Below are 27735 nucleotides of genomic sequence, written 5' to 3'. Positions count from 1 at the left end.
CTAGATTATATCACCCAAAGAGATTCTGTTAAGTCTCACTAGTTTTACAAATCAAAATAGAGGGAGAGGGCTGGCATGTCTACCAGTAGAGATGGACTTTTAAACATTCTGAGATTTAAAAGACAGTGTCTGGCACTGTTGCCCAAGCTGAAGTGCAGTGGCACCATCTCAGTTCATTGCAACCTCTGCCTCCCAGGCACAAGTGATCCCCTCATCTCAGCCTCCCTAATGGCTGGGACTACAGGCCGTGCACCACCATATGCCTCGCTAATTTTTGTATTTTTTGGAAAGATGGGATCTCACTTTATTGCCCAAGCTGGTCTTGAATTGCTGAGCTCAAGCAATCCACCCACCTCAGCCTCCCAAAGTGCTGAAATTACAGGCATGGGCCACCAAGCCCGGCCTCTAAGATTTCTTTACCACTCATGGTGATACTTGAGAAATCATACAGGCTTAAAACAATATTTACTCTCTCTTTTATGGAATGAGAAAAAAAGTAAGACTCTAAGATGTTTTTGAGCAGTTTAAAGTTGACTTTTTAGATAAACTGATGATTTTTGTCAACTGCTAATACTTTGTAACATCATAACTGCTATCACTATAGAAAAGCCTCATCTTTTTCTCTATCATGAGCCAGGCTTTCTCAATCTGACATTTTGGCTCAGATAATTCTTTGTTGTGGAAAGCTATCTTGTGCATTGTAGGATGCTTAGCAGCATCTCTGGCCTCTACCCACTAGATTCCAGTAGCAATCCTCCAGCTATGATGTCTCCAAATATACTGCCAAATGTCCCCTGGTGAGCCAAACTGCCCCCAGTTGAGAATCACTGTCCTAAGCTAAGGAAAAAAAATGCCTGTTTCTTAATTTATAATTTACTAATCATTAAACCTGTTATAAAATAGGTTTAATCTCAAAATTAGTATATATATACATATCCCACAAGACATAGGGCAAAATACCTTATCAAAAAGTTGAAATCTAAATTATTTTGCATTCTGCAAATGTTTTATGTATCTGATTTCTTCTCAGCTTTATTTTTCCAACATCAGAAATCACTTCATTTATTCAGACTGTCTTCCCACAATGTCTCTTCAGTAGGCGGTGAGTAAAGCATAAATTCCAAACATAATGGAGATTAAGACCAAGTCTCACTCCCTAGCAACCCGAGGTATGAAGCTGGACAAATTTATATAAATTCAAATGAAATAACAGAAGCTTTGGAAAAGGGTCCTGTTTAATTTTATCTTTGATCCATATCTGAATCCTTTTTTTTGAGACAAGGTCTCATTCTGTCACTAAAAGGCTAGAGTACAGTGGTGCAATCATAGCTCACTGCAGCCTTGAACTCCTGGACTCAAGTGATCCTTCCGCCTCAGCCTCCAGAGTAGTTGGGACTACAAGCACGTGCCTTATCTTTGAAGAACACTGCTTATATAAACCTTATAAACATACAGGGTATTAAATTATGTATTCACAAAATACTTACAATTCTCCAGTTCCTTTTAATATAGTTTTTGAATGTTACTGAAGCACATACTTTGATAACATTATCCTGGGACTTCTCCAGTAATGTCAAAAGCAACAGTGGATAATTCTGATTTCCTTCAACAGATTCAAGAAATTTCTCAGCTGTAAAAGAATTTTCATGTTAAAAGACTAAGATAAAAATCTTTCCACCTTATATATATCAAATATATATATATAAAAAAAAATCAAAAAAAGAGAAAAGATTAGGTTATTTGTGGGTCTACAGGGCCTCACTTTTCTTATCTATTAAGTGGATTATATATGTTACATTAAACTTATATAATGCTTCAGTTTTCAAATAACTTTACCATCAATTAACTCACATGATTCTCACAAACCTATACAGTGGCCTAATTGGATGATCATCTCATCTGCAAGAGAAGCTGCTTCCCAGGCAGATTAAGTGGCTTCAAGACTTCATATACCCAGGTCTTATTTCAGAAAGGAGTATTATTAGTACTATTAGTAGTAATATTTCTTTTATAGGCTAGTGATGAAGAGCAAATGAGTCAATTCATCCTAATATATTATTATTAGCCAAATGGGTCCAACGATTTACATATATATTATATATGTAAAATTATAAAATTTCATTTAGTTGTCACTATTACCCAGAAAAGTAGATAGCATTTAAAAAACCAAGGCACTAAGGTTAAGTAACTTGTTCAAGATCACACAGCTAGGCTTCACTACTGAAAGTTTTAGTGCAGTCCTTATTTTACCTTACCAGCCCTAAGCTTTCTTGTCGAACTAAAAAAAAACCTAAAAACTTCTTAATACCAGCAATGAATTTATCCAAAAAATTTACCAATAGATTTTCAACCCAGATTACATTCTGGGATAAATTTCCTAGGTTAATGATCACATGTGATGGCAGTACAGTATTTCTCTTAATTTTTTTCTACCTTTGGCTTCATAGGGCAACACCCAATATTCCAATATTTTTTGAAAAATTAATTTCATGTATCATTTAACACCTTCCCTCTTTCTGACTGAGTCCCAAGAGTTTCACTGATATTTTCAAACTCTCCTTGCTTTGTGCTTATCATGTCTTTCTTGAAGGATGAAGATTGTTAAACTGAAAAATGTTTTTCAGGAGGGGACATACTATGGTTTTATATGAGTACAGAACAATTTGTTTCCTCCACTTAGTAGCCAGCATTTTGTACAGGGCAACACACTACATCCATGATTTGAGGAAAAGCCCATATAAATTGCCAAGTCTCTTTCCTAAATTGTAATCAATATCCAGGAAGTGAGTTTGAGTCTGTTCCTTTCTGTGTTCATTTCTTTCAACTTATCACAATATTCACATGCATATGTTTCTGCGCACTCAAGGAGTCTCAAAAGGTCTAGTTGAGTCAGTCTAGTCAGTCAGTCTCGATCCCTGAGAAATGCTATGTTCCTAACTTCCCAGAAATACCAGATTATTTTTATACTCTGTCCTGAATACATAAAGCAACAGAACTCTTGCCTCACACATTATTAAAAAAAAAATAATTGCCGGGTGCGGTGGCTCACACCTGTAATCCCAGCACTATGGGAGGCCGAGACGAGTGGATCACAAGGTCAGGAAATCGAGACCATCCTGACTAACCTGGTGAAACACCCGTCTCTACTAAAAATACAAAAAATTAGCCGGGTGTGGTGGCGGGCGCCTGTAGTCCCAGCTACTCGGGAGGCTGAGGCACAACAATGGGGTGAACCCGGGAGGTGGAGCTTGCAGTGAGCCAAGATGGCGCCACTGCACTCCAGCCTGGGCAAGAGTGAGACTCTGTCTCAAAAATAAATAAATAAATAAATAAATAAATAAATAATAATAATAATTTTTCCACCGGGCACGGTGGCTCATGCCTGTAATCCCAGCACTTTGGGAGGCTGAGGCGGGTGGATCACGAGGTCAGGAGATGGAGACCATCCTGGCTAACACGGTGAAACCCTGTCTCTACTAAAAATACAAATAATTAGGTAGGCATGGTGGCGGGCGCCTGTAGTCCCAGCTACTCAGGAGGCTGAGGCAGGAGAATGGCGTGGACCCGGGAGGCGGAGCTTGCAGTGAGCCAAGATGGCGCCACTGCACTCTAGCCTGGGCGACAGAGGGAGACTCCGTCTCCAAAAAAAAAAAAAAAAAAAAAATTTTTAATAGTGTTGGCAACAGCTTTCTTTGAAAGTCTAAGAAGATTAAAGATTAGAGCCATTAACTTCCCTTTATCCAGGAACACATTACTTCTTTATACACTAATAAACTAATTTTTCCTCTCAAAAATCACAAAGACTTTTCTAGAAGAGGATAGATGCATTAACATGTTCATGATTCTAGTCATCATACATAATATATAACACACATTCTCTTCCTCATGGAACCCTTCCAACATCCTCTATGAGCATGCACATTGGTAAGTTTTGAAGAAACAGGTCAAGAGCATTTTAATATGGCCCATATCAAGGATCAATAACTGACTGCTCACAAGATATATCTGGCCCAGAAGTAGTTTGGCTTGCACTGTATTTCAATTTTTTTTTTTTTTGAGACAAAGTCTCACTCTGTCACCTAGGCTGGAGTGCAGTTGGGCAATCTTGGCTCACTGGAACCTTCACCTCCTGGGTTCAAGCGATTCTTGCACCTCAGCCTCCCAAGTAGCTGGGGTTACAGGCACATGCTACCATGCCTGGCTAATGTTTGTATTTTTAGTAAAGACAGGGTTTCACCATGTTGGCCAGGCTGGTCTCAAACTCCTGACCTCAGGTGATCTGCCCTCCTGGGCTTCCCAAAGTGCTGGGATTACAGGCGTGAGCAAATGTGCCTGTCCAATTTTTTTTTTTCTTTTGAGACGGAGTCTTGCTCTGTCACCAGGCTGGAGTGCAGTGGCCTCGGTTAACTGCAACCTCCGCTTCCTGGATTCAAGCAATTCTCCTGCCTCAGCCTCCCAAGTATCTGGGACTACAGCCGTGCACCACCACGCCCAGCTAATTTTTGTATTTTTAGTAGAGACAGGGTTTCACCACATTGGCCAGGATGGTCTAGATCTCTTGACCTCATGATCCGCCTGCCTTGGCTTCCCAAAATGCTGGGATTACAGGCGTGAGCAAATGCACCTGGCCTTTTTTTTTTTTTTTTTAAGACAAGATTTCCCTCTGTCACCCAGGCTAGAGTGCACTGACATGATCATAACTCACTGCAGCTCCGACCTCTTGGGTATAAGTGAAGCTTTTGTCTCAGCCTCCCCAGTTGCTAGGAATACAGGCACACATCACCACACTTGGCTAATTTTTAAATTTTTTGTAGAGACAGGGTCTTGCTTTGTTGCCCAGGCTGGTCTCGAACTCCTGGACTCAAGGGATCTTCCTGCCTTGGCCTCCCAAATTACTGGGATTAAAGGCGTGACCACCAACCCTGGCTGTGTTTCAAAATATTTTTTTTTTTGGGACTACGTCTCGCTCTGTCACCCAGGCTGGAGTGCAGTGGCGCAATCTCAACTCACTGCAACCTCCACCTCCCAGGTTCAAGCAATTCTCCTGCCTCAGCCTCTTGAGCAGCTGGGACTACAGGTGTGTGCCACCACACCCAGCTAAGTTTTTGTATTTTTTAGTAGAGAAGGGGTTTCACCATATTAGCCACGATGGTCTCGATCTCCTGCCCTCGTGATCTGCCCACCTCGGCCTCCCAAAGTGCTGGGATTACAAGCGTGAGCCACCGCACCCGGCCCCAAAATCTTTTGAAGTTACTTGCTAACATTTAAAAATGAGGGCACTTCATATAAATATCCTTATTTTTCAAGCAAAACTGGAAATCTGATCTTGCAAAACTAGTCTGAATCCCCAAAATTAGCTAGTTCCAAAAAGTACTTGCCACTTAATCAGGGCATGTATTCTCCTGATATTACCAGTCTCCACTTGGCCTATCTCCCTCATTTAACTTAACAGCTGAGTCCTGTGAACACCTGAGTTCAATATTTTAATTCTACGTTTTTAATGGAATCTGGTCAGATTCAGGAAGGAAAAAAAAAGCTCTAGGTCTTAAAATATATTAGTTAAATCAAACCCAATAGAAAATTAAAATTAAGAGACAGTAACTGATTACTTGGCTTCATTCACTTAATCACTTTTTAGGCAATTACTCTCCTTTCTATGCCCTAATTATTTTATCTCTAAAGCAGGCTTTTTTTTTTTTTTGAGACGGAGTCTTGCTCTGTCGCCCAGGCTGGAGTGCAGTGGCGCAATCTCGGCTCACTGCAAGCTCTGCCTCCGGGGTTCACGCCATTCTCCTGACTCAGCCTCCTGAGTAGCTGGGACCACAGGCACCCGCCACCACGCCCGGCTAATTTTTTGTACTTTTAGTAGAGACGGGGTTTCACCGTGTTAGCCAGGATGGTCTCCATCTCCTGACCTCGTGATCCGCCTGCCTCAGCCTCCCAAAGTGCTGGGATTACAGGTGTGAGCCACCGCATCCGGCCTAAAGCAGGCATGTTTTAAGTGGGTATTTTGGAAAAGGTCAAAGACAAAGCATTCTAAACATGTCAGTACTTTTTATCCGAAAACTAGTACTTTTTAATCCCAGAAGATGCCAAATAAAAGCTATTTTACTCAAAAAAGAAACAACACACCATGGTATAGCAGCTGTAACACTTATAAACTACGCTTGAGAACCCAAGTATGAATTTTTTAAAATATATTTATAAGGAGGCAGATAATACATAGGTTTCTCTCACCTGTCCTGAAGGAATTAATCAACCAAAAAACGTTTATTTTCTTTACCTGGACGTCGGATGGCAGGATCAGGATCAAGTGTTTTCTTTAAATATTCTGTTAGTGTTTGCAGATTTGCATCGCTGAGTTCCATTGCTATAGGATCTAAAATATAAAATAAGGTTTGGATAACTGGTCACTTACGGAAAAAGTGATTTACATTTAAAGAAATCCGTTTATATTATGGGTTATTCTCTCTGAAAGTCATCCATCTGTTGTTTTTTATATGGGCAGTAAACCTGACTCTGAGACAAGAGTCCAGCAAATGAGATGTGCCTTTTCCCCCAAAAACAATAGTGAGACAATTTTGTGATAAGGGAGATGAAAAAAAATCCCAAAATTTCAAAAAGATAGTCATAGAAAAAAAAGCTGAAGGACTGCTCGAAGTCACCAAGAAGTTTATATGATTTAATGCTATGGGAAAGGGCTAATAAAGGTTAAGAAAAAAAAAATCACTGGAGGAACTTATTAAAGAAGCCCCATAAGGAGCCCGGGCAGTGGCTCAGGCCTGTAAATCCCGACACTTTGGGAGGCTGAGGTGGGTGGACTGCTTGAGCTCAGGAGTTAAGAGACCAGCCTGTCAACAGGGTGAGACCCCATCTCTACCAAAACTACAAAAAAATTGAAGCCGGGCATGGTGGCTCATGCCTGTAATCCCAGCACTTTGGGAGGCTGAGGCAGGCGGATCACCTGAGGTCAAGAATTTGAGACCAGCCTGGTCAACATGGTAAAATCCCGTCTCTACTAAAAATACAAAAATTAGCTGGACATGGTGGCAGGAGCCTGTAATCTCAGCTACTTGGGAGGCTGAGGCAGGAGAATCGCTTGAACCCGGGAGGCAAAGGTTTCAGTGAGCTGAGATCGCACCATAGCACTGCAGCCTGGGCGATAAGAGCAAAACTCCGTCTCAAAACAAACCAACCAACCAACCCAAAAAATTAGCCAGGCATGGTAGTGGGTGCCTTCAGTCCCAGCTACTCGGAAGGCTGAGGTGGGAAGATGTCTTGAGCCTGGGGGCAGAGGTTGCAGTGAGCTGAGATGGTGCCACTGCACTCCAACTTGGGTGATGGAGCAAGACCTGTCTTAAAAAAAAAAAAAAAAAAGGCCCCACAACGAGAAATTAAAATTTTAAACAGCAAATAAATATCCCACATAAAGTTCTGAGATTAAAGAAACAAGAAATTCCTTCATGTACAACATGTAATCGCAAATACTACAAAGTGCTAAGAATTTGCATCTAGGGAGATAAATTCTAGAGTTCAGAAGATGACAGCTAAGATTATGATTCTAGAAGTTTTCATATTTAAAGCTTAAACAAAACTAAATCACATAATATGCTTATAACTGACCAAAAAACTTCACATCTAACAGATGACAAATTAAAAAAAAAATTTTGTAGAGACAGGGTCTCACAATGTTGCCCAAGCTGGTCTCAAACTCCTGGACTCAAGTGATCCTCCTGCCTTGGCCTCCCAGTGTGCTAGGATTACAGGCGTGAGCCACCGTGCCCAGCCCACAAATTTTAAGCTAACTAAATGGCCTACGTCGATTTAACTACTAACAACATAGGCTAAGAAATACACAGTTCAAGAGATTTATTGTACAACAAGGTGACTATAATAATGTATTGTACACTTGAAAATTACTGGGTATATTTTAAGTGCTTTCACCACACACACACACACACACACACACACACACACACACACAGCATGTGAAGTAATATGTTAATTAGCTTGATTTAGCCATTATACAATGTATACATATTTCAAAACATGCATACCACAAATATATACAATTTTGTCCATTAAAAATGGGAAAAAAAGGAGTCTGAACCCACTCAATTAAAAGGAAAATGAAAAAACACACAGAAACAGCACATACACAGAGTACAAGTGTCAGATGTGCATGATTACCAACAGATCACAAATCCTGGGAATCTTATCAATTGAGCTTTATGGTCTCCAACTTGTTGGTGAGACGATAAAATTAGGTGCAAACTGAGGGAACTTTTTGGGGGTGACAGAGTGTTCTAAAATTGGACTGTGGTGACACATGCATAATCTACATAAATTTACTAACATTTCCCAAACAGTTCACTTAAAATGGATAAATCTTATAGTATGTAAATTGTACTTCAATAAAGCTATTTTAGGCTGGGCGCGGTTGCTCACGCCTGTAATCCCAGCACTTTGGGAGGCTGAGGGGGGTGGATCACCTGAGGTCAGGAGTTTGAGACCAGCCTGGCCAGCATGGTGAATCCCGTCTCTACTAAAAATACAAAATCAGCCGGGCATGGTGGCATGCACCTGTAATCCCAGTTACTTGGGTGGCTGAGGCAGGAGAATCGCTTGAACCTGGAGGCAGAAGCTGCAGTGAACCAAGATTGTGCCACTGCACTCCAGCCTCAGAAAGAGCGAGACTTTGTCTCCAAAAAAAAAAAAAGCGATTTTAGAAAACTCCACTTATGCTTAGATTCCATTAGGCAGCTTTTAGATATATAGCCACATGTAGATGGGAAAGTGGAGCCCTTTCAGGGAAATCATGCACCAAATTAACCAGAGGCTTCTATGAAAAAGAAGAAAAAAACTAAACACACAATTTTTGTAAAATGTAAAAAAGGTCAGTGGAAAAAGTTCAAGGATATCATAATTCAAATTATGAAAAAAAACTTCACATATAGAAGAAAACAAAAAACACACTCCAAAATGTAGAACAGTGATAACATCTCGGTGATAGATATAAGGAGAGTTTTATTCTCTTCATACTTTTCTAATCTTACAATCACATATCTATTATACATTTACAGTAAGGAATTTAAAAAATTTTATTATTTTTTCAGACAGAGTCTTGCTCTGTGGCCCAGGTTGGACTGCAGGGGCATGATCATAGCTCACCACAGCCTCAACCTCCAGGGCTCAAGCCCCAACCTCCCACCTCAGCCTCTTGAGTAGCTGGGACTACAGGCGCAATCAACCATGCCTGGCTAATTTTTGTATTTTTTGTAGAGATGGGGTTTCACCATATTGCGCAGGCTGGTCTTGAACTCCTGACCTCAAGCAATTTTCCTGCCTCGGCATCCCAAAACACTGGGATTACAGGCATGACCCACCATACCGGGACCCATTTATTTTTAAAATGCCTATGACAATATGCAATCAAGTTCCTGTCCTAGAAGGAGCTTCTGTAATAGTTCAGAAGACAAGACACAACTGAAATGCCAAGTACAGGCCTATATACCCTTTACTAAAGTGATGAAATCCAAAAATAAAAAAACTTAAAAGTTTGTTTTTTAACAAGTTTGTGGCAAACTCACTTGGCAGCAAAACCAGCCTGAACTGCCTGAGGCTATCAACATAGATTTATCTCACTTAGTATGCAAATTTGTTTCACTAAAGAAATATCAATACGTTTGATTACAGGGTGCTACCCCAAGCCCCACTGGGGATGTTGTATAATCCACAGTACATGCATCCAAAAAAAATCCCAAATTCTGAAACATCTGTCCTCTGAAGTGCCAAATGAATCACAAAGACAGCACCTTAAACGTTAGAAAATTAAGAAGGGAGTCACGGGGTTATGTGGCCATCCAAGAGTTTCCCAGAGCCTGAGCCTTGAGCTGAACCTTGAAAAATATGTGTATCTGAATAGGCAAAGTAGGATGAGGGCGCATCTGCCAAAATGAATTGTGAGAGCAAAGTAACAGAGATGGGAAGAGAGAATAGTGGGCTAGGAGATCAAGACCAGATCATATAGGTTCCTCCATACTTGGCTGAAGAGTGCCATGATTTAATGTATGGGGAAGTCATGAAGGTTTTCTTAAGTGGGTAAAAATGTAATGAAAGTGGAGTAGAGGACCTTTGGGCTGGTAATGGTTTGCAGAATGGGGGAAGTGTCACATGTATGAACCAGGCACACGATGCTAGATGTTTTCATAGGCTTCATATCATTTATTCCACACAATGATTTTACACACAAAGAAGGGCACTCAGGTTGACATATATTAACTATATATGGTTAATAAATAAAGATCAGATTTAAATCAGTCCAACTCCGTAGGTCTACCCTCTTTCTATTACCCAAGGCTGCCTCTTAGGTGGAAATGACAGACGGCTGACCAAGAGTGAAAGCACTCACAACACAATAGAAAGGCTGATGTGAAAAGAGGGCAGCCAGAGGACAACTGAGCGGTGGGGAGCCAGAAAATAAGAAAATATTATCTAATGCTGTGCTTATGCAGGGCACTCCCCAACAGCCAGAAACCCCAACCTTCTAAAGAGAATTATCTGTATTCTACATGCTGCAGTCCTTCCCCTTAATTAGAAAATGTGTTTATCACAGGAAGCTAATGTTCTGACTGAGTAGATCCCACCACCTACCTAATCACTCCCTCTAATCCAGGTGTTCCACTCTATAGGTGTGAAAATCAAGTCCCATTAAACCACACATACAATCTATTGAGAGGCTATACCCTTTATGGTTTTTTATATCACAAGTTTGGAAAATGCTACACATTATATCCTGCCCCACTTTGGAGATTCACAATACAAAGCACTTTAAACTCACAAAGTTACTGGTTCACATCAATTAATCCAGAGTCTCCACTGGTGGGAGGCTGAGGCAGACGATCGCTTGAGCCCAGGAGTTCAAGACCTGCCTGGGCAACATGGCAAAACCCCATCTCTACTAAAAATACAAAAAATTAGCCGGGCGTGGTGGTGTGGCCCTGTAGTCCTAGCTACTTGGGAGGCTAAGGTGGGAGGATTGCCCAGTCTCTCCCATTATTTGGCTATAGAACTCCTTTTCAATAGAACACACTTTGGAAAGCAATGATTTAATCCATTTATTTTCCTATTCCTTTTTTCTGTATTGAAATGGTGGATCAGTTATGAAATCATGAAAGTTTGGGCCAGGTGTGGTGGCTCACACCTATAATCCCAGCACTCTGGGAGGCTGAGAGGGGCAGATCACCTGAGGTCAAGAGTTTGAGACCAGCCTGGCCAACATGGTGAAACCCCGTCTCTACTAAAAATTAGCCATGCCTGGTAGCACATGCCTGTAATCCCAGCTACTTGGGAGGCTGAGGCAGGAGAATTGCTTGAACCTGGGAGGCAAAGGTTGCAATGAGGCGAGATTGCGCCATTGCACTCCAGCCTGGGCAACAAGAGAGAAACGCAGTCTCAAAAAAAAAAAAAAAAAAAAAAAAAAAAGTTAGTTTGCTGTGGTCAAGTTAAATCATTAACATCAGTGTATCTGAGTTAAAGGAAATTGGCCTTTCTTTGCCATATGCAAATTTATTCTACCTTTGGGGATTCATGCAAGGCAGATTGTTAGAAACTTGGGTGGGGAGGGTGCAGGGGCAGATTTACAGATCTATTTTGTCTTTAAAAAAAAAAAAAAAAAAAAAAAAGAGAGACAGGGGGTCTCACTGTATTGTCCAGATTGGATTCTAACTCCTGAGCTCAAACAATCCTCCTGCCTCAGCCTCTGGAATAGCTGGGACTACAGGCATATGCCACCACACAGGGCTTATTTTCTTGATTTTTAAAAATACACTTCTTAATAAATCTGCATTTCACTTTCTTCATTATGTTTCTCTAGCATTTGTATATTTCTCAACTAAAACTCCTTAGATTCCTCATAATTACTTGTCTTAAACACCCAAACTCCTGGCCAGGTGCAGTGGCTGCCGCCTGTTAGCCCAGCATTTTGGGAGGCCAAGGCAGGTGGATTGCTTCAGCCGGCTTCAGACCAGCCTGGGCTAACACAGCAAGACCCTGTCTCTACTAAATATACAAAAAATTAGCCAGGTGTGGTGGCACACACCTGTAGATCCAGCAAATTGAGACTGCTGTGAGTTGTGATCAGGCCACTGCACTACAGACTGGGCAATGGGAGTGAGACCCTATCTCCAAAACAACCACCACCACCACCACCACCACCAAATCCCTTACCACAGCAGGGTCTAAGCAATCTGGTATCTACTGACCTCATCTCCTACCTCCTCCTGGCTCTTGCTACATTCCAGGCACAAAAGCCTTCTGTTCTACAAACTGGCCACAAGAGTTCTCCCTGACCATAATAATGCTCATCCTCTAATTTGATAATGGACACCATTCAGCACTCAGCCCACTGTCAACTCTTCAAAAAGGCCTTCTACGATTACCATCTACATCATCCTTGTTTTACTGTGTTAGCAATTACCCTCATTTGAAATAAACTTCTTTGTCGTCTCATACACACACTAGACTGCAAGCTCCTGAGGGCAGGGACTTTCGTCTGTATGCTCAGGACCTTCAGCATTACCTGGCACACAGTACATATTTAGTAAGCATTTGTTGTATGAACTAAAGGATAAGTCACAACATGTCAGTCACCCAGCAAAACATGAGTTTCCAGTCAAGACTGGAGACTATCCCTTCAGATCAATCATTAGCAGCCCCAACATAATGTGGGAACTCAGTTGCATGAATGTCAGATGAACAAATGACCAACTTAACTGCCACAATTAAATTTGTTTATTCAAAAGTACTTCAAGAAAGTGAATTTTTAGATTTGTTCTGGCCTGGCAGAATGGCTCATGCCTGTAATCCCAGCGCTTTGGAAGGCCGAGGCGGAAGGATCACTTGAGGCTAGGATTTCAAGACCAGCGTGGGCAACATAGTGAGACCCTGTCTCTACAATAAATAAAAATTAGCCAGGCATGGTGGCGAGCACTTGTAGTCTCAGCTGCTCTGGAGGCTGAGGCAGAAGGACTGGTTAAGCTCAGAATTTTAAGGCTGCAGTGAGCTATGATCATGCCATTGCATTCCAATCTGGGCAACAGAGTAAGACTCTGTCTCTGAAAAAAGATAAAATTTATCCTGTATTACCTGTTCAAACATGCCAGTGATTTTACTTTTGTTTCAGGGTTCTGTACTTACCATTCCTTCTGCCTGCAGAGCTCTGCACACGGAAAGCTACAAGGTTTGCACTGCCCACTTCATTCTCATTCAGGACTCTTGTTTTTTTTGGAGACAGGGGTCTTTGCTCTGTCACCCAGGCTGGAGTGCAGTGGCGTGATCTCAGCTCACCGCAGTCCCCGCCTCCCAGGTTCAAGCAATTCTCCTGCCTCAACCTCCCAAGTAGCTGGGACTACAGGTGCGTGCCACCACGCCCGGCTGAGTTTTATATACAGTAAAGATGCGGTTTCACCGTGTTGGCCAGGCTAATCTCAAACTCTTGACCTCAGGTGATCTGCCGCCTCAGCCTCCCAAAGTGCTGGGATTACAGGCATGAGCCACCGTGCCCGGCCTGGAAGGACTCTTTTCAAATGTCATCTTTTTTTCAGAGATGCCTTGCTGCACCATCCTATCTAAAAGAGCATTCACCTCAGTTACTCTCCATGCCCTTACTCTACTATTTTCCAAGTACATTTTATCAGGCATATTAATTTCTTTTGTCATTTACTGTGCTTCTCTCTTCACTAGATTGTAAACTCCACTGATAGTAGGGACTTTGTGCTTTGTTCACTGCTCTCTCCCTAGAGCCTTACAATAGTGATGAGCACCCGTTATATATTTGTTGTACTATTTTAAAAAGCTAGATACCTTTGATGTTTCCATCAAAAATATTATTCTTCATCTTTATTTTGGTTGGTTGACTGTGTCAAACAGAAAGAGGTGGACACAACCTTCTAGATTCTAAAACCACAACAGGCTGAGCAAGGTGGCTCACTTCTGTAATCCCAGCACTTTGGGAGGTGGAGATGGGACGATCACTTGACCCCAAGGACCGTTCAAGACCAGACTTGGCAACAATAGTGAGATCCTGTCTCTACAAAAAATTTTAAAAATTAGCTGGGCTCAGGCCGGGCGCGGTGGCTTACGTCTGTAATCCCAGCACTTTGGGAGGCCGAAGCAGGCGGATCATCTGAGGTCAGGAGTTCGAGACCAGCCTGACCAATGTGATGAAACCCCGTCTCTACTAAAAATACAAAAAAAAAAAAATTAGCCGGGCGTGGTGGCATGCGCCTGTAATCCCAGCTACTCAGGAGGCTGAGACAGGAGAATTGCTTGAACCCGGGAGGCAGAGGTTTCAATGAGCCAAGACTGCACCATTGCACTCTAGCTCTAGCCTGGGCAACAAAAGTGAAACTCCCATCTCAAAAAAAAAAAAAAAAAAAAAAAAAAATTAGCTGGGCTTGGTGATACCCTCCTGTGGTCCTAGCTACTAGGGAAGTTGAGGCAGGAGGATTGCTTGAGCCCGGGAGGTCTAGGCTGCAATAAGCTGAGGTCTTGCCACTGCAGTCCAGTATGGGTGACTGAGTGAAACCCTGTCTCCAAAAATAAAATAAAATAAAATAAAATAAAATAAAAATAAATAAATAAAACCACATAATAGAATGAAACCTAAAATGATTAAGTTGAGATGCTAGGGTAGGACTATTTTTAAGTTTAAAAAAAAGTGAGGGGTTATATAAATATGCATGTTATAATCCCTCAAAGTTAAAATACTACATAGATCCCAGAATCTTAATACTCTTTTTTGAGACAGGGTCTGGGTCTGTTACCTAGGCTGGAGAAATGCAGTGGTGTAATTCTGGCCCACTGAAACCTCTGCCTCCTGGGCTCAAGCCATCCTCCTACTTCAACCTCCCAAGTAGCTGGGACTACAGGCACACACCACCACACCTGGCTAATTTTTGTGTTGTTTCTGTAGACATGGTTCCAGTGTTGCCCAGGCTGGTCTGGAACTCCTGAGCTCAAGTGATCCGCCCACCTTGGCCTTCCAAAGTTTATTCTTTGGGAATATTCTTTAAGGAACTATTTGTCAACAAATCCTTTTTATATCGCCTTGCAGATATAGTCTATAAAACCGAATTCTAAGCTTATCCTTAATTTGAGAAAATAAGAGAAATCAGGGACTTTTAGAGAACATTTTACAGGTATTCATAATTATCAACAAGATCAAGCTCTAATTATCTTATGCAACCACAAGTAAAGGTACTTTGACACTCTGAAATATTAGCAATATATAAATGCAAAAAGTGTTACTGATCTAAAAATGACTCAAACTAGAAACAAAACATTCATTTTGGCCAAGTAGGGTGGCTCATGCCTGTAATCCCAGCTCTTTGGGGGGCCAAGGTAAGCAGATTGGTTGAGTCCAGGAGTTTGAGACCAACCTGGGCAACATGGTGCCATCTCTACAAAAAAAAAATAAAAATTAGTTGAGTGTGGTGGTGCACGCCTGTAGTCCTAGCTACTCGGGAGGCTGAGGTAGGAGGATAGACTGAGCCCAGGTCAGCCCAGGCAACACAGTGAGATGGTGTCTCCAAAAAAAAAAGGGAGGGAGAAGATAAGAATTCATTTTTATCACCTTTAAATGAGGGGGTGATACTTTTCTTTCTCCACGTAACTATCTTTGGAAATCTCTACCAATACACAATTAAGAAACTTAAAAAAGCATCACAATAAATCAGTTATGGCAGACATCTAAATTTCCAAGTTCTTCTTGTTGAATGAATGGCCAGACCTAAGTCTAGCATCTTCCCACAGGCCCTCAATTACAGGTGGAGATTTCTGGAATAAAAGCTTTGTTTTCCAAAGCCATCTCACAGACATCTGTGACATAAGCTGATCCAAGATGTCTGCCTTTTTCTTAGATATGTCCTCAACACATTAGAGAACCATTCCCGAGGCCTTACATTTGGGAAGAGGGAAAGAGATCCAATGAATGAAAACTATCTGGCACCCACACATGAAGAACATATCCCAACACCTCAACCTACCCTCTGCTTTCTAACCATAGGAATATACCACTTAGAATCAAATCCAAACTCCTTACATTGCCTACAAAGCCTTCTATGATCCGGGTCCTGGATATTTCTCCCTTCTTCATGTAACACTCTAGGAACCTAAGATATTCCTTAAATATTTCAATATTCCAAGCCGGTTCCTGTCCTTGAGCCTTGAGCCTTCTATTCCCTCTACCTGGAATGTTCTGCCCCTCACCTTTTAATGGCTGGTCTCTACCCAAATGTCACCTCCTCAGAAAAGCCTTCTTCACCTGTCACATAATTCTGTCACTATCTGAAATTATCTAATGTTTTTTCTTTCGCCCACGAGAATACATGGTCCTCAAGGGAAGGGACCTTGTCCATTTTTGTTTTTTCACTATATTCCCAGAGATTAAGTGGATGCTCAATAAAGTTATTAAATGAATAAAGAAACAAATTAATTCCAAAACTAGAGCACTGCTCTTGCATCCATCCAATCCTGTCCCAGACCCCAACCAGCAGAAGTAATCAGAAGGGGAGAGAGACTTCCCTTGCACTGATGGTAAGAAGTGAAAGATAAAGGGTTGTAGGAGCGGAGAGACGAGGTCCATTAGGATCCTCTGAAAGCATGTCAAAAAAAAAAAAAAAAAAGAGAGAGACACACACAGAGAAAGGCCAAAGATATGACTATGTGGGCCCAAGGTGAGAAAAAGAGCAATTGGTGGAATCCAAGACTAAAGGGTCCCCTTCTGTGCCTCCAAGGAAGAATAATACTTGTGCATCTACCATGTGGCAAGCACAGGTGGGATGGCACCCACCAGGGAGAGAGAAGTAAGCAAGACAGACAAGGTCCTTGCTCTCAAACAGCTTACATTCTAGCAGTTGAGAAAGATAACAAGTAAGCAATAAGTAAGTGTTAGTAAATGCTATGAAGTAACTAAAACCAGGTGATGTTGATGGAGAGCCATGGGAGAAAGGTCCTAGACAGGTTGATTAGACAGCCTGATCAACATGGTGAAACCCCGTCTCTAATAAAAATACAAAAATTAGCCGGGTGTGGTGGCGTGTAGTCTCAGACCTGTAGTCTCAGCTATTCGGGAGGCTGAGGCAGGAGAATCGCTTGAATCCGGGAGGCGGAGGTTGCAGTGAGTCGAGATCGCGCCACTGCACTCCAGCCTGGGAGGCAGAGCGAGACTCTCTCTCTCAAAAAAAAAAAAAAAAAAAAAAAAAAAAGAAAAGAGAAAAGAAAAAGAAAAAGAAAACAAAAGAAGAGGTTGGTTAGGGGAGGCCTAAGGTGAGGGAAACTTGGGAGAGGCGGCCTGCCTTGCAAAAATGTTGGTACTTCCCCAGCAAACAAAAGGCATGTGCAAATAATTTTAAATCGGAATAACCCTGGAATATGGAAGAAACAGAAAGCCACACTGGCTAAGGAGAAAGATGGGTGGGAGAGATGAATAAACAACCGTCAGCTCCCAGGGAACCTTTGTAAACCACGGTAAATAACTCAGCGCATCCTCAAAGCCACTTTCCGAGGTAGATTCTGTTATTAACCCCATTTTGCAGCTAAGGAAATGGAGGCTCAGTGAGATGAGGTGACCAGCCTCAAGTTACACCCCTAACGAGAGGCTACGTCTGGAATGAACCCAGGCGATCTAATTCCAAAGTCTATGCTCCGAACCACCACAGCACAGCGTTTCTCCCAAAACGAGGGAACCCTCCCCCAACCCGCGTTACAGGGGATTTCTATGTCCCGGGTGTACCGACTAGAATTCTCACAAACAATTCAGCAAAGTGAGATCACGATGCCCGTTTTACAGTCAGGGATACAAGTACAGAGGTTAGAGAAGGGTGAGTTCGGGGGCTTCACTAGAGTTAGGGCAAGGGACGACGCGAGGCAGCCGCAGCTCCACGCGCCCGCAGTCCCCGCCCGGGCAGGCCTCGCCGCCGCACACTCAGCTCGCGCGGCTAGCAGCCACCGTCGCAGAGAATGGACATGCGAGCGCGACCAATAAGGAGCGGCCTTCCCGAGCGGAGAGGCGGCGGCGCAGCCAATCAGCGCCGTGATGGAGAGGAAAGGGCGGGCAATCCGCAGGCTCGCGTTAGGCCGCGCCTCAGTTGCCCTCAGCCCTCACAGGCCCTGGGGTCGCCGCACCTGGGCCAGAGACCTAGGATGCCGCGAGGCGCGGCAAGCGCTCCCTAGGGAAGCCGAAGACCTTGCCTGAGCGCACCACCCGAACCCCGGGCCCACATTCCGCTCTCGCCCAGAGGCGCGGTTCTCACTCCCTAGCGCTCGTTAGTACCGGGAGCGCCTCATCCCTTCCTCAGCTGGGCCCCAAGAGCCACTCTGGTAGGCCGTGCACGCCCCGCGCCTCACCTCGTGGGGATACAGAAACGGAGGAGGGAACCCCAGCCGCGGACCGTAGCTGGCACTACCCGCTCCTGCCGCCGCTCCGCCTCACATTCAAACCCCGGCAAAATGGCGCGACAGCGAGCCTGAGGCCAGAGCGCATGAGCGAGCGGCCCGCTGCAGGGGGCGGGGCCAGGAATGCTCTGGCCCCACCCAAGTTCGAAGGGCCAATCGGGGCCCCGCTCTGTTTCTGCGCTGATCTCACAAGTGACAATGCTCTTTGGCTCTGACCATGCCAGCAGGCTTCACGGTTCTCGTTTTCCAAAGAGGAACACAGATTCAGCGAGCGGCTGCTGGCTTCTGACCCATTTTGATGTCAGGGCTTGGCACGTAGGAGGTGTTCAATGTTGATCGATCCAAGGTCGTGCACATAGGGTCTAAGACGGAAGAGAACTTCCTGCCCCTCTTGGAGCTTCTATTTTAGAGGGAGACACGGCCAGACAGGTCTCGAACTCCTGGCCTCAAGTGATCCGCACACCTTGGCCTCCCAAAATGCTGGGATTCCAGGCGTGAGCCACCGCGCCTGGCCTGGTATGTAAGTTTTGGTACTCTTATTACAGCCCACAAACCATATGGGATCTGGCCCCTGCCAGCCTGCCTGCCCTCATCACCTTCCGCTTCCCTCCTCTCCTCACCCTCACTCAGCTCCGCCACCCCACCTTCTTCCTGTTCCTCTAAGCTCCAAGCTTATTTCCACTTTAGAGCATTTATACTTGCTGTTCCCTGTGCTGGGATGTTCTAGATTCCTGAATGATTGGCTCCTTCTTTACATTTAGGTTCCAGCTCAAATGTCACCTCCACAAAAGAGGCCTATCTGAAATTGCCCACTCACCACCACCCAGCACACAAATTAGGGTTGCCAGGTTTAGCAAATAAAATGCAGGCTGCCCAGGTCAATGTAAATTTTAGAAAAAAATTTATAATTTTCTAGTATAAATACTGTGTAGGACATATTTATACTTAAAAATCATGCATTGCTTATCTGAAATTCACATTGAACTGGGTGCCCAGTGTTTGATCTGGTAAGCCTAGTTCCATGATATCATTATGGTATTTATCACTCTCCAACTAATTGTCTCTTCTTTATTTTGTTCCTCCTTCCGCTTCTCCCCTCCTAAACCCCTGCCCTCCTCCCCATCCATAACCTAAGGGATTCTATACAGCAAGGGCTTTTCTTTTTTTTTTTTTTTTTTAAAGACAGAGTCTTGCTCTGTCGCCCAGGCTGGAGGGCTGGAGTGCAGTGGTGCTGTCACAGCTCACTGCAACCTCTGCCTCCCAGGTTCAAGCAATTTTCCTGACTCAGCCCCCCAAGTTACTGGGACTACAGGTGCCCGCCACCATGCCCCGCTGATTTTTGTATTTTTAGTAGACACGGGGTTTCACCATATTGGCCAGGCTGATCTTGAACTCCTGACCTTGTGATCCGCCAGCCTTGGCCTCCCAAAGTGCTGGGATTACAGGCATGAGCCACCACGCCTGGCCAGGGCTTTTTTTTTTTTTTTTTTTTTCTTTTAAGAGGCAGGGTCTTGCTCTGTCACCCAGGCTGCAGTGCAATGGCACAATCATAGCTCATTGCAACCTCGACCTCCTAGGCTAAAGCAATCCTCCCACCTCAGCCTCCTGAGTAGCTAGGACTACAGGCACCTGCCACCACACCTGGCTAATTTTGAATTTTTTTGTAGAGATGAGCTCTCACTATGTTGCCCAGGCAAACTCCTGGCCTCAAGTGATCCTCCCACCTCCGCCTCCTAAAGCACTGGGATAGGGCTGGGCATGGTGGCTCACGCCGGTAATCCCAGTGATTTGGGAGACCGAGGCAGGCAGATCACCTGAGATTGGGAGTTTGAGACCTGACCAACATGGAGAAACCCCGTCTCTACTAAAAATACAAAATTAGCCGGGTGTGGTGGCGCACGTCTGCAATCCCAGCTACTTGGGAGGCTGAGGCAGGAGAGTCGTTTGAACCCGGGAGGCAGAGGTTGCGGTGAGCTGAGATCTTGCCATTGCACTCCAGCCTGGGCAACAAGAGCGAAACTCCATCTCAAAAAAAAAAAAAGCCCCGGGATTACAGGTGTGAGCCACCACATCTAGCCCCATATTGATGGTATTCACAGCTGTACCCCCAGCACTAGGCACACAGTAGCTGCTTAATAAATGTTTGTTGCATGTTGAATGAAATGCCATATATAAATAAGTGAAGTCCATGGAGAAAGATACATGAGTGAAAGACATTGGTGAGGCCGGGCACGGTGGCTCATGCCTGTAATCCCAGCACTTTGGAAGGCTGAGGCAGGCGGATCATGAGGTCAGGAGATCGAGACCATCCTGGCCAACATGGTAAAACCCTGTCTCTACAAAAATACAAAAATTAGCCAGATGTGGTGGCATGCGCCTGTAGTCCCAGCTACTCAGGAGGCTGAGGCAGGAGAATCGCTTGAACCTGGGAGGCAGAGGCTGCAGTGAGCCGAGATCGAGCCACTGCACTCCAGCCTGGGTGACAGCGAGACTGTGTCTTAAAAAAATAAATAAATAAATAAAATAAAAATAAAAATAAACCATGATGGTCAGAAGACGGTGGAACATTTTAAAAAAAAACAAAGACATTGGTGAAAAAGATGTATTTTTACTATTGCAGCAATAGTACCAGTAATCACCAGTAATCATTTTAATCGTTCTAATCTGCATTTTTTTTTTTTTTTGAGACGGAGTCTCACACTGTTGCCCAAGCTGGAGTGCAGTGGTGCGATCTCGGCTCACTGCAAACTCCACCTCCTGGGTTCACGCCATTTTCCTGCCTCAGCCTCCCGAGCAGCTGGGACTACAGGCGCCCGCCACCATGCCCAGCTAATTTTTTGTATTCTTAGTAGAGACAGGGTTTCACCGTGTTAGCCAGGATGGTCTTGATCTCCTGACCTCATGATCCGCCCGCCTCGGCCTCCCAAAGTGCTGGGATTACAAGCGTGAGCCACCACACCCGGCCCACTAATCTACTTTAATATAATTAACATGTTCCTCTAGTCCTAGGGAGAATGAGCCTGATGACTTTACCATTTTCCACCTCTAAGAGCCAATCGCAAAGGAGGCTGGCTGGCATCTTGTGTCTGTCTAGCATCTCTACCAGTTTCTGTAGAAAACCCTCAAGCTGTGCCAAGACGATCATGTCTGGACACAGCTCTTGGTGTCACGGGGTGTCTCCTCCTACTGCCTATCGCCCTTTGCAGCCACCAGAATAATCATGCAGGTGAGAGCCACAGAAAGGCTGAGTGTCCTTCTCCACTCTGCATGGTTCATGGGTGACAGCTAAAGATTCCCTTGGGAATCCTCCCCATCCCAGCTCCACTACATGCACATACTCTTGGGGCGTGCTACAACTCTTAACAGACTGTGTTGGAAACCAAAGAAAACAATTCATCCACTTCAAGGAGCAGGAGACTAAGTACTCATTCATGTAGTTTCCTTTCTTTCTAAACCCTTATAAAACAATCTGTCTAGGTTGGGCATGGTGGCTCACGCCTGTAATCCCAACACTTTGGGAGGACAGGATGGGTCACCCGAGGTCAGGAGTTCGAGACCAGTCTGGCCAACATTGTGAAACCCCATCTCTACTAAAAATACAAAAATTAGCCGGGTGTGGTGGTGGGTGCCTGTAATCCCAGCTACTTGGGAGGCTGAGGCAGGAGAATCACTTGAACCTGGGAGGTAGAGGTTGCAGTGAGCTGAGGTCGCACCACTGCACTCCAGCCTGGGCGACAAAGCAAGATTCTGTCCCCCCGCGCAAAAACAAAAAAAACCCCAATCTGTCTAATGTAAGGAAAGACATTCTGAAAAGACACATTGTCTATGGTGTGCTCCTTGAGGAAGATAACTTTACATTTTATTTGGATCCAGAAGGGCGTGGACACATCTGGTTATGCTGGGAAAGAACAAGTCTTATGTCTCAATCTCGCTTTTAAAGCCCAACTGAGATGCAGAAGAGTGTTAACAGCTAAACATTGAGAAGTATCTGATTGTTGTTTCTTATCTTTTTTAAAATGGAGGCACTTTAATTTTTTTTTTTTTTTTTGAGATGGAATCTCACTCTGTTGCCCAGGCTGTACAGTACAGTGGCGCGATTTTGGCTTACTACAACCTCCGCCTCCCAGGTTCAAGCAATTCTCCTGCCTCAGCCTCCCAAGTAGCTGGGACTACAGGCGCCCACTACCACACTCAGCTAATTTTTGTATTTTTAGTAGAGATGGTTTCACCATGTTGGCCAGGCTGGTCTTGACCTGACCTCAGGTGATCTGCCCACCTTGGCCTCCCAAAATGCTGGGATTACAGGCGTGAGCCACTGCACCTGGCTTATTTCTGTTTAAATATATGTTTATATGTTATAAAAATCTACACGTTTGAGACTAGCCTGATCAACATGGTGAAACCCCATCTCTACTAAAAATATGAAAATTAGCCGGGCGTGGTACTGTGTGCCTATAATCCCAGCTATTTGGGAGGCTGAGGCAGGAGAATTGCTTGAACCCAGGAGGCAGAGGTTGCAGTGAGCTGAGATTGCACCATTGCACTCCAGCTGGGCAACAGAGCGAGACTCCATCTCAAAAAAACAAATCTACTCATACAAAATGGGAAATCTCCTTTATTAATTAGGATATAAGTTGTAGGTAATATATTATGTCCTCTATTTCCTTATTTTATATTTTTTTAATTAAAAATTTTTAAATGTATATATTTAAATTTTTTTTTGTAGGGATTGGGTCTCTCTGTGTTGCCCAGGTTGGTCTCAAACCTCTGGGCTCAAGTGTTCCACCCACCTTGGCCTCCCAAAGTGCTGGGATTACAGTGGCTCACTGCAATCTCCGCCTCCCAGGTTCAAGCGATTCTCCTGCCTCAGCCTCCCAAATAGCTGGGATTACAGGCATGTGCCACCACACCCAGCTAACTTTTGTACTTTTAGTAGAGATGGGGTTTCACCATGTTGGTCAGGCTGGTCTTGAACTCCTGAGCTCAGGTGATCCACCTGCCTCCGCCTCCCAAAGTGCTGGAATTACAGGTGTGAGGCACCACGCCTGACCTAGAAGTGTATTTTTCATGCTTCTTGATGGGAAATTATATTTTTTCCATCCCTTCAAGTGGGATTTTTAGACCTGCCTTAGACCTGGGCAAGCCTGCAGACCTTTGCCGTGCCCTTGCTTTAGAGGGCTTCGTCCTGGCCCTCCTCCAGCTGCTCCCTCCTGCCCGTTAGCCGAATGGGTGTGCACATCTAGAACCCATGCCACTCCCTTTGAGACCACACTGCAGTTGGACAGGGCCCTGGAATTCCCAACCCATAGGGCCCTGGCCTGTGGATACCCTTGCCTGGGTCACTTCTTCAGAGGGTGGGCTGCACAGCAGCTTGTGAGCACTCCCATGCTGGAAGGGTGACTTGGGTCAGAAAGGGGTTTGCAGGGAGTTTGGACAGGAATGGGCTTCCATGCACACATGCAAAGCCTTATGGTGCAGGGTGAAGCCTGAGGTGGAGAGAGCAGGGTGCTGGTCTTGGGCCAGCCACCCGGTGCTGCTGCTTTCTGGTGTGGAGCTCTGAGGAGCCTGAGAATTCCATCTTTGACCTGCCCTTCCAGATCTTTACAAAGGTACATTTATAAAGGAAGGAAGATAGACTGTCTTATTCAAAAGTTTTACGTATAGTTTTTCAATGTTGACCCTCAGAGCATGGGAGCCGACATTTGTATTTCTGCCCTAGAGCCTGCAAATGTTAGTCCTGTGCTAAGTGTGTTCTCTGTCCACAGGAGCCAGGGCCCCATATTATCTACCGCTGTCCATCTGCTCTCCAGCACATCAGAGCAGCCCTTCCCCTGTGTGAGATTCCTCTCCAGGGCAAGACTTGAAGGGAGCATCAAGGTTGCAGTGGAAGAAATAAATTGGAAGTGGAGCTGGGCAGTTATTTATTTATTTAAATAGAGACAAGGCCGAATGCGATGGCTCACACCCGTAATCCCAGCACTTTAGGAGGCCGAGGTGGGTAGACGACCTGAGGTCAGGAGTTCAAGACCAGCCTGATCAACATGGCGAAATCCCGTCTCTACTAAAACTACAAAAATTACCTGGGCACGGTGACACGCACCTGTAGTCCCAGCTACTCAGGAGGCTGAGGCACAAGAATTGCTTGAACCTGGGAGGCCAAAATTGCAGTGAGCCAAGATTGCACTACTGCACTCCAGCCTGGGCGACAGAGCCAGACTCCATCTCAAAAAATATATATATATAAATAAAAAATAAATAAATAGAGACAAGTCTCACTGTGTTGCCCAGGCTGGTCTCGAACTCCTGGGCTGAAGCAATCTGCCTGCCTTGGCCTCCCAGAGAGCTGGGGTTACAGGTGTGAGGCACGGTGCCAGGCTAGATCTGGGCAATGTTTAGGAGGCGGGCTCTAGAGCCAGGCTGCAGGGCTTCAAATCCCTCTGAGTGTCCTAAGTCAAGTTTGTCAACCTCTCTGAGCCCGTACCCCTCTATAAAAAGGAGGGATGCTGGTGATGATGATAATAGTACCTACTTTACGGGGGTTATTGTGCGAATTAATGGCTGAAGAATGGTTGAAATAGCAAGAGTCAAAAACATGATCAATATGGAAAGCCTAGCAGGAGAAAGTACTAAAGTTCATTGATGGGGAGATGGGGAGGGGGACAGATGGGGTCTCACCGTTTCCCAGGCTGGTCTCAAACTTCTGGCCTCAAGTGATCCTCCTGCCTTAGCCTCCCAAAGTGTTGGGATTATAGGCATGAGCCACTGTGCCCAGCCATTAAATTCTCCTTCTTTCCTCTTTTGGTGGAAGGGAAGGGAGAAGTGAGACTTTACCAGGAGTCCATGGAATGTGGCCCAAAGGCCAAGGACAGAGTACCTTCCAGGACTCTCTCAGAGGGCAGCAGGAGCCCAGGGCTGCTTTCTGCCTATGACAGGTGTGCAGTAGAAGTGGGTCTTCAGAGGCTGGGCGCAGTGTCTCAGGCCTGTAATCCTAGCACTTCGGGAGGCAGAGGCGGGCAAATCACCTGAGGTCAGGAGTTTGAGACCAGCCTGGCCAACATGGTGAAAGCCAGTCTCTACTAAAAATACAAAAATTAGCCAAGTAATTTTTTTTTTTTTTTTTTTTTTTTGAGGAATCTTGCTCTGTGGCCCAGGCTAGAGTGCAGTGGTGTGATCTCAGCTCACTGCAACCTTGGCCTCCCAGGTTCAAGTGATTCTTGTTCCTTAGCCTTCCAAGTAGCTGGGACTATGGGACTACAGGTGTGTGTCACCATGCCCAGCTAATTTTTGTATTTTTCGTAGAGACAGGGTTTTGCCACATTGGCCAGGCTGGTCACAAACTCTTGACCTCTAGTGATCTGCCCGCCTCAGCCTCCCAAAGTGCTGGGATTACAGGTGTAAGCCACCACACCTGGCCCATGCCTGATAGTTTTGATTCATCATGGATAATCTGTCATTAAAAGAAATTCAGGGCCAAGTCCAGTGGCTCATGCCTGTAAATTCCAGCACTTTAGGAGGCTGAGGTGGGAAGATGACTTGGGCCTAGGAGTTTGAGACCAGCTGGGGCAACGTAGCAAGACCCTGTCTCTACAATAAAATTTAAAAAAATTAGCTGGGCATAGTGAGGTGTGCCTGTAGTCCCAGCTACTGGGGAGGCTGAGGCAGGAAGATTGCTTGAGCCCAAGAATTTGAGGCTGCAGTAAGCTATGATGGTGCCACTGCCACTGCACTCCAGCCTGGGAGCCACAGCAAGATCCTGAATCAAAAAGAATTCATCTGAGGGTTCACCAAGTTGCTGATGAGTCTCTAGAAAGTACAAGGAGAATCCTGGGTTTAGCCATTGAGTCTCAGGATGCAGGAATCAAGATCATCACAATACTGGATAAACAAGGGGAACAACTCAACCACATAGAAGACATGGGCCACAAAAATACAGACATGAGAGAGGCAGAGAAGACTTTAACAGAACTTAACAAATGCCATGCCCTTCGTGTCTGTCCACATAATAGAACAAAGAACTTTGGATGGCTTGGGCACGAGAAATTGAGGCTGCAGTCAGCTGCAATGAGGCCACTCACCCCAGCCTGGGTGACAAAGCAAGATCACGTCTCTTAAAAAAAAAAATTGGAAACATTGACAAAGACAGCCAAGAAGAAGGAAGCTGTAGAAGTGTTTTTTGTTTGTGGTTTTTGTGGTGGAGGGAGGGACAAGAGATAAGAGGTTAACCTCAGCAAAAACCTAGCTGGGCATGGTGGCACGTGCCTGTAATCCCAGCATTTTGGGAGGCTGAGGTGGAAAGATTGCTTTCTTTCCACCTGGGATGTGGAATCACACATTCTATGCACACCTATGAATCACTAAGACTTCAGAAGTTAAGCTCCCTTTAAGAAAACTCATTCTTTTTGGAGCAGAGGTTGCAGAACTGTGATCCCTAACAAAAATACTGTGTATAAAAGCTCCAAAACGAAGTATTAGCTTAAAGTGGCAATAACTACAACTTTATAACCAACTAAATCTTTACCGTGGCTATGCAACTTTTTGCTTTGTGGCCAGAAGGTTTTTTTGGTTTTTGTTTTTTTGAGACAGGCTGTCACCCAGGCTGAAGTGCAGTGGCACAAACAAAGCTCACTGCAGCCTCGACCTCCTGGGCTCAAGCAGTCCTCCCCACCCCAGTCTCCTGGGTAGCTGGGACTACAGGCGTGTGCCACCACACTTGCTATTATTATTTTGTAGAGATAGGGTCTCACTACATTCCCCAGATTGGTCTCAAACTCCTGGCTTCTAGCAATCCTCCCACCATGCCAGACCCTAGACTTAAAAAGTTAGAATTGGCTGGATGTAGTGGCTTACACCTATAATCCCAATACATTGGGAGGCTGAGGTGGGAGGATCACTTGAGCCCAGGAGCTGAAGACCAATTTGGCCAACATAGTGAGACCCCCATCTCTATTTTTAAAAAAAGTTAGAATTTATTGTGTTACTAAAAGTGATTTGGAAAATTATACCTTTAGTTTAATTATTGGGGAATTACACTGTCAGTCTCTTACCCTTGTGTATAGAACTATGTCCAGAATCAAATTTATGTAGATCCTAAACACTGTTATGGGAATCTGATTAGTATTTGTCACATTGACTTAAAAATTAGCATCTCAGTTGGCGTGGTACTCACACCTGTAATTTCAGCACTTTGGGAGGCCAAGGTGGGAGGATCACTGAGGCCAGGAGTTCAAGACCAGCCTGGGCAACATGGTGAAACCCCAACTCTACAAAAAAATACAAAAA

General features: G+C 44.5%; 1 protein-coding gene, 1 long non-coding RNA gene and 1 pseudogene across 6 annotated transcripts in view, besides 4 other annotated features; 2 read left to right on the top strand and 1 right to left on the bottom strand.

Annotated features, from left to right (window-relative positions):
- Positions 1 to 18520, bottom strand: part of CSE1L (chromosome segregation 1 like) — a 50638-nt gene extending 32118 nt beyond the window's left edge. For 3 of the 4 annotated variants that reach the window (NM_001362762.2, NM_001316.4, NM_001256135.2), the window contains exons 1-3: positions 18409 to 18520; positions 6284 to 6379; positions 1488 to 1630 (exon numbers count right to left, since the gene is read on the bottom strand). In NM_001362762.2, coding sequence (NP_001349691.1) covers positions 1488 to 1630; positions 6284 to 6368 — 228 coding nt within the window. In that variant the 5' untranslated portion in view covers positions 6369 to 6379; positions 18409 to 18520. The remainder of the gene's footprint in view (positions 1 to 1487; positions 1631 to 6283; positions 6380 to 18408) is intronic. The other variant, NR_045796.2, reaches the window with a different exon arrangement.
- Positions 17522 to 18162: an enhancer, noted in NCBI's record as "NANOG-H3K27ac-H3K4me1 hESC enhancer chr20:47663207-47663847 (GRCh37/hg19 assembly coordinates)". NCBI's record gives its function as "activates a minimal SCP1, AML or CMV promoter by ChIP-STARR-seq in primed H9 embryonic stem cells {active_cell/tissue: H9 hESC(primed)}" and the evidence as "EXISTENCE:reporter gene assay evidence [ECO:0000049][PMID:30033119]".
- Positions 17522 to 18197: a biological region, named in NCBI's record as "NANOG-H3K27ac-H3K4me1 hESC enhancer GRCh37_chr20:47663207-47663847".
- Positions 18128 to 18197: an enhancer, noted in NCBI's record as "active region_18054". NCBI's record gives its function as "activates an Ori minimal core promoter by ATAC-STARR-seq in GM12878 lymphoblastoid cells {active_cell/tissue: GM12878}" and the evidence as "EXISTENCE:reporter gene assay evidence [ECO:0000049][PMID:35858748]".
- Positions 18748 to 18897: an enhancer, noted in NCBI's record as "active region_18053". NCBI's record gives its function as "activates an Ori minimal core promoter by ATAC-STARR-seq in GM12878 lymphoblastoid cells {active_cell/tissue: GM12878}" and the evidence as "EXISTENCE:reporter gene assay evidence [ECO:0000049][PMID:35858748]".
- Positions 18776 to 24369, top strand: CSE1L-DT (CSE1L divergent transcript). 2 transcript variants are annotated; one of them, NR_110624.1, is made up of 3 exons: positions 18776 to 18972; positions 21460 to 21682; positions 24222 to 24369. It is a non-coding gene; the product is annotated as a CSE1L divergent transcript (long non-coding RNA). The 2 variants fall into 2 exon arrangements; NR_110625.1 differs by lacking the exon at positions 21460 to 21682.
- SNAP23P1 (synaptosome associated protein 23 pseudogene 1) lies at positions 26223 to 26474 on the top strand (annotated as a pseudogene).

Source organism: Homo sapiens, chromosome 20, assembly GCF_000001405.40.
Source record: "Homo sapiens chromosome 20, GRCh38.p14 Primary Assembly".
Taxonomy (NCBI): domain Eukaryota; kingdom Metazoa; phylum Chordata; class Mammalia; order Primates; family Hominidae; genus Homo; species Homo sapiens.
Note: the sequence above shows the minus strand (reverse complement) of the source record. Positions and strands in the feature narration are given on the sequence as shown.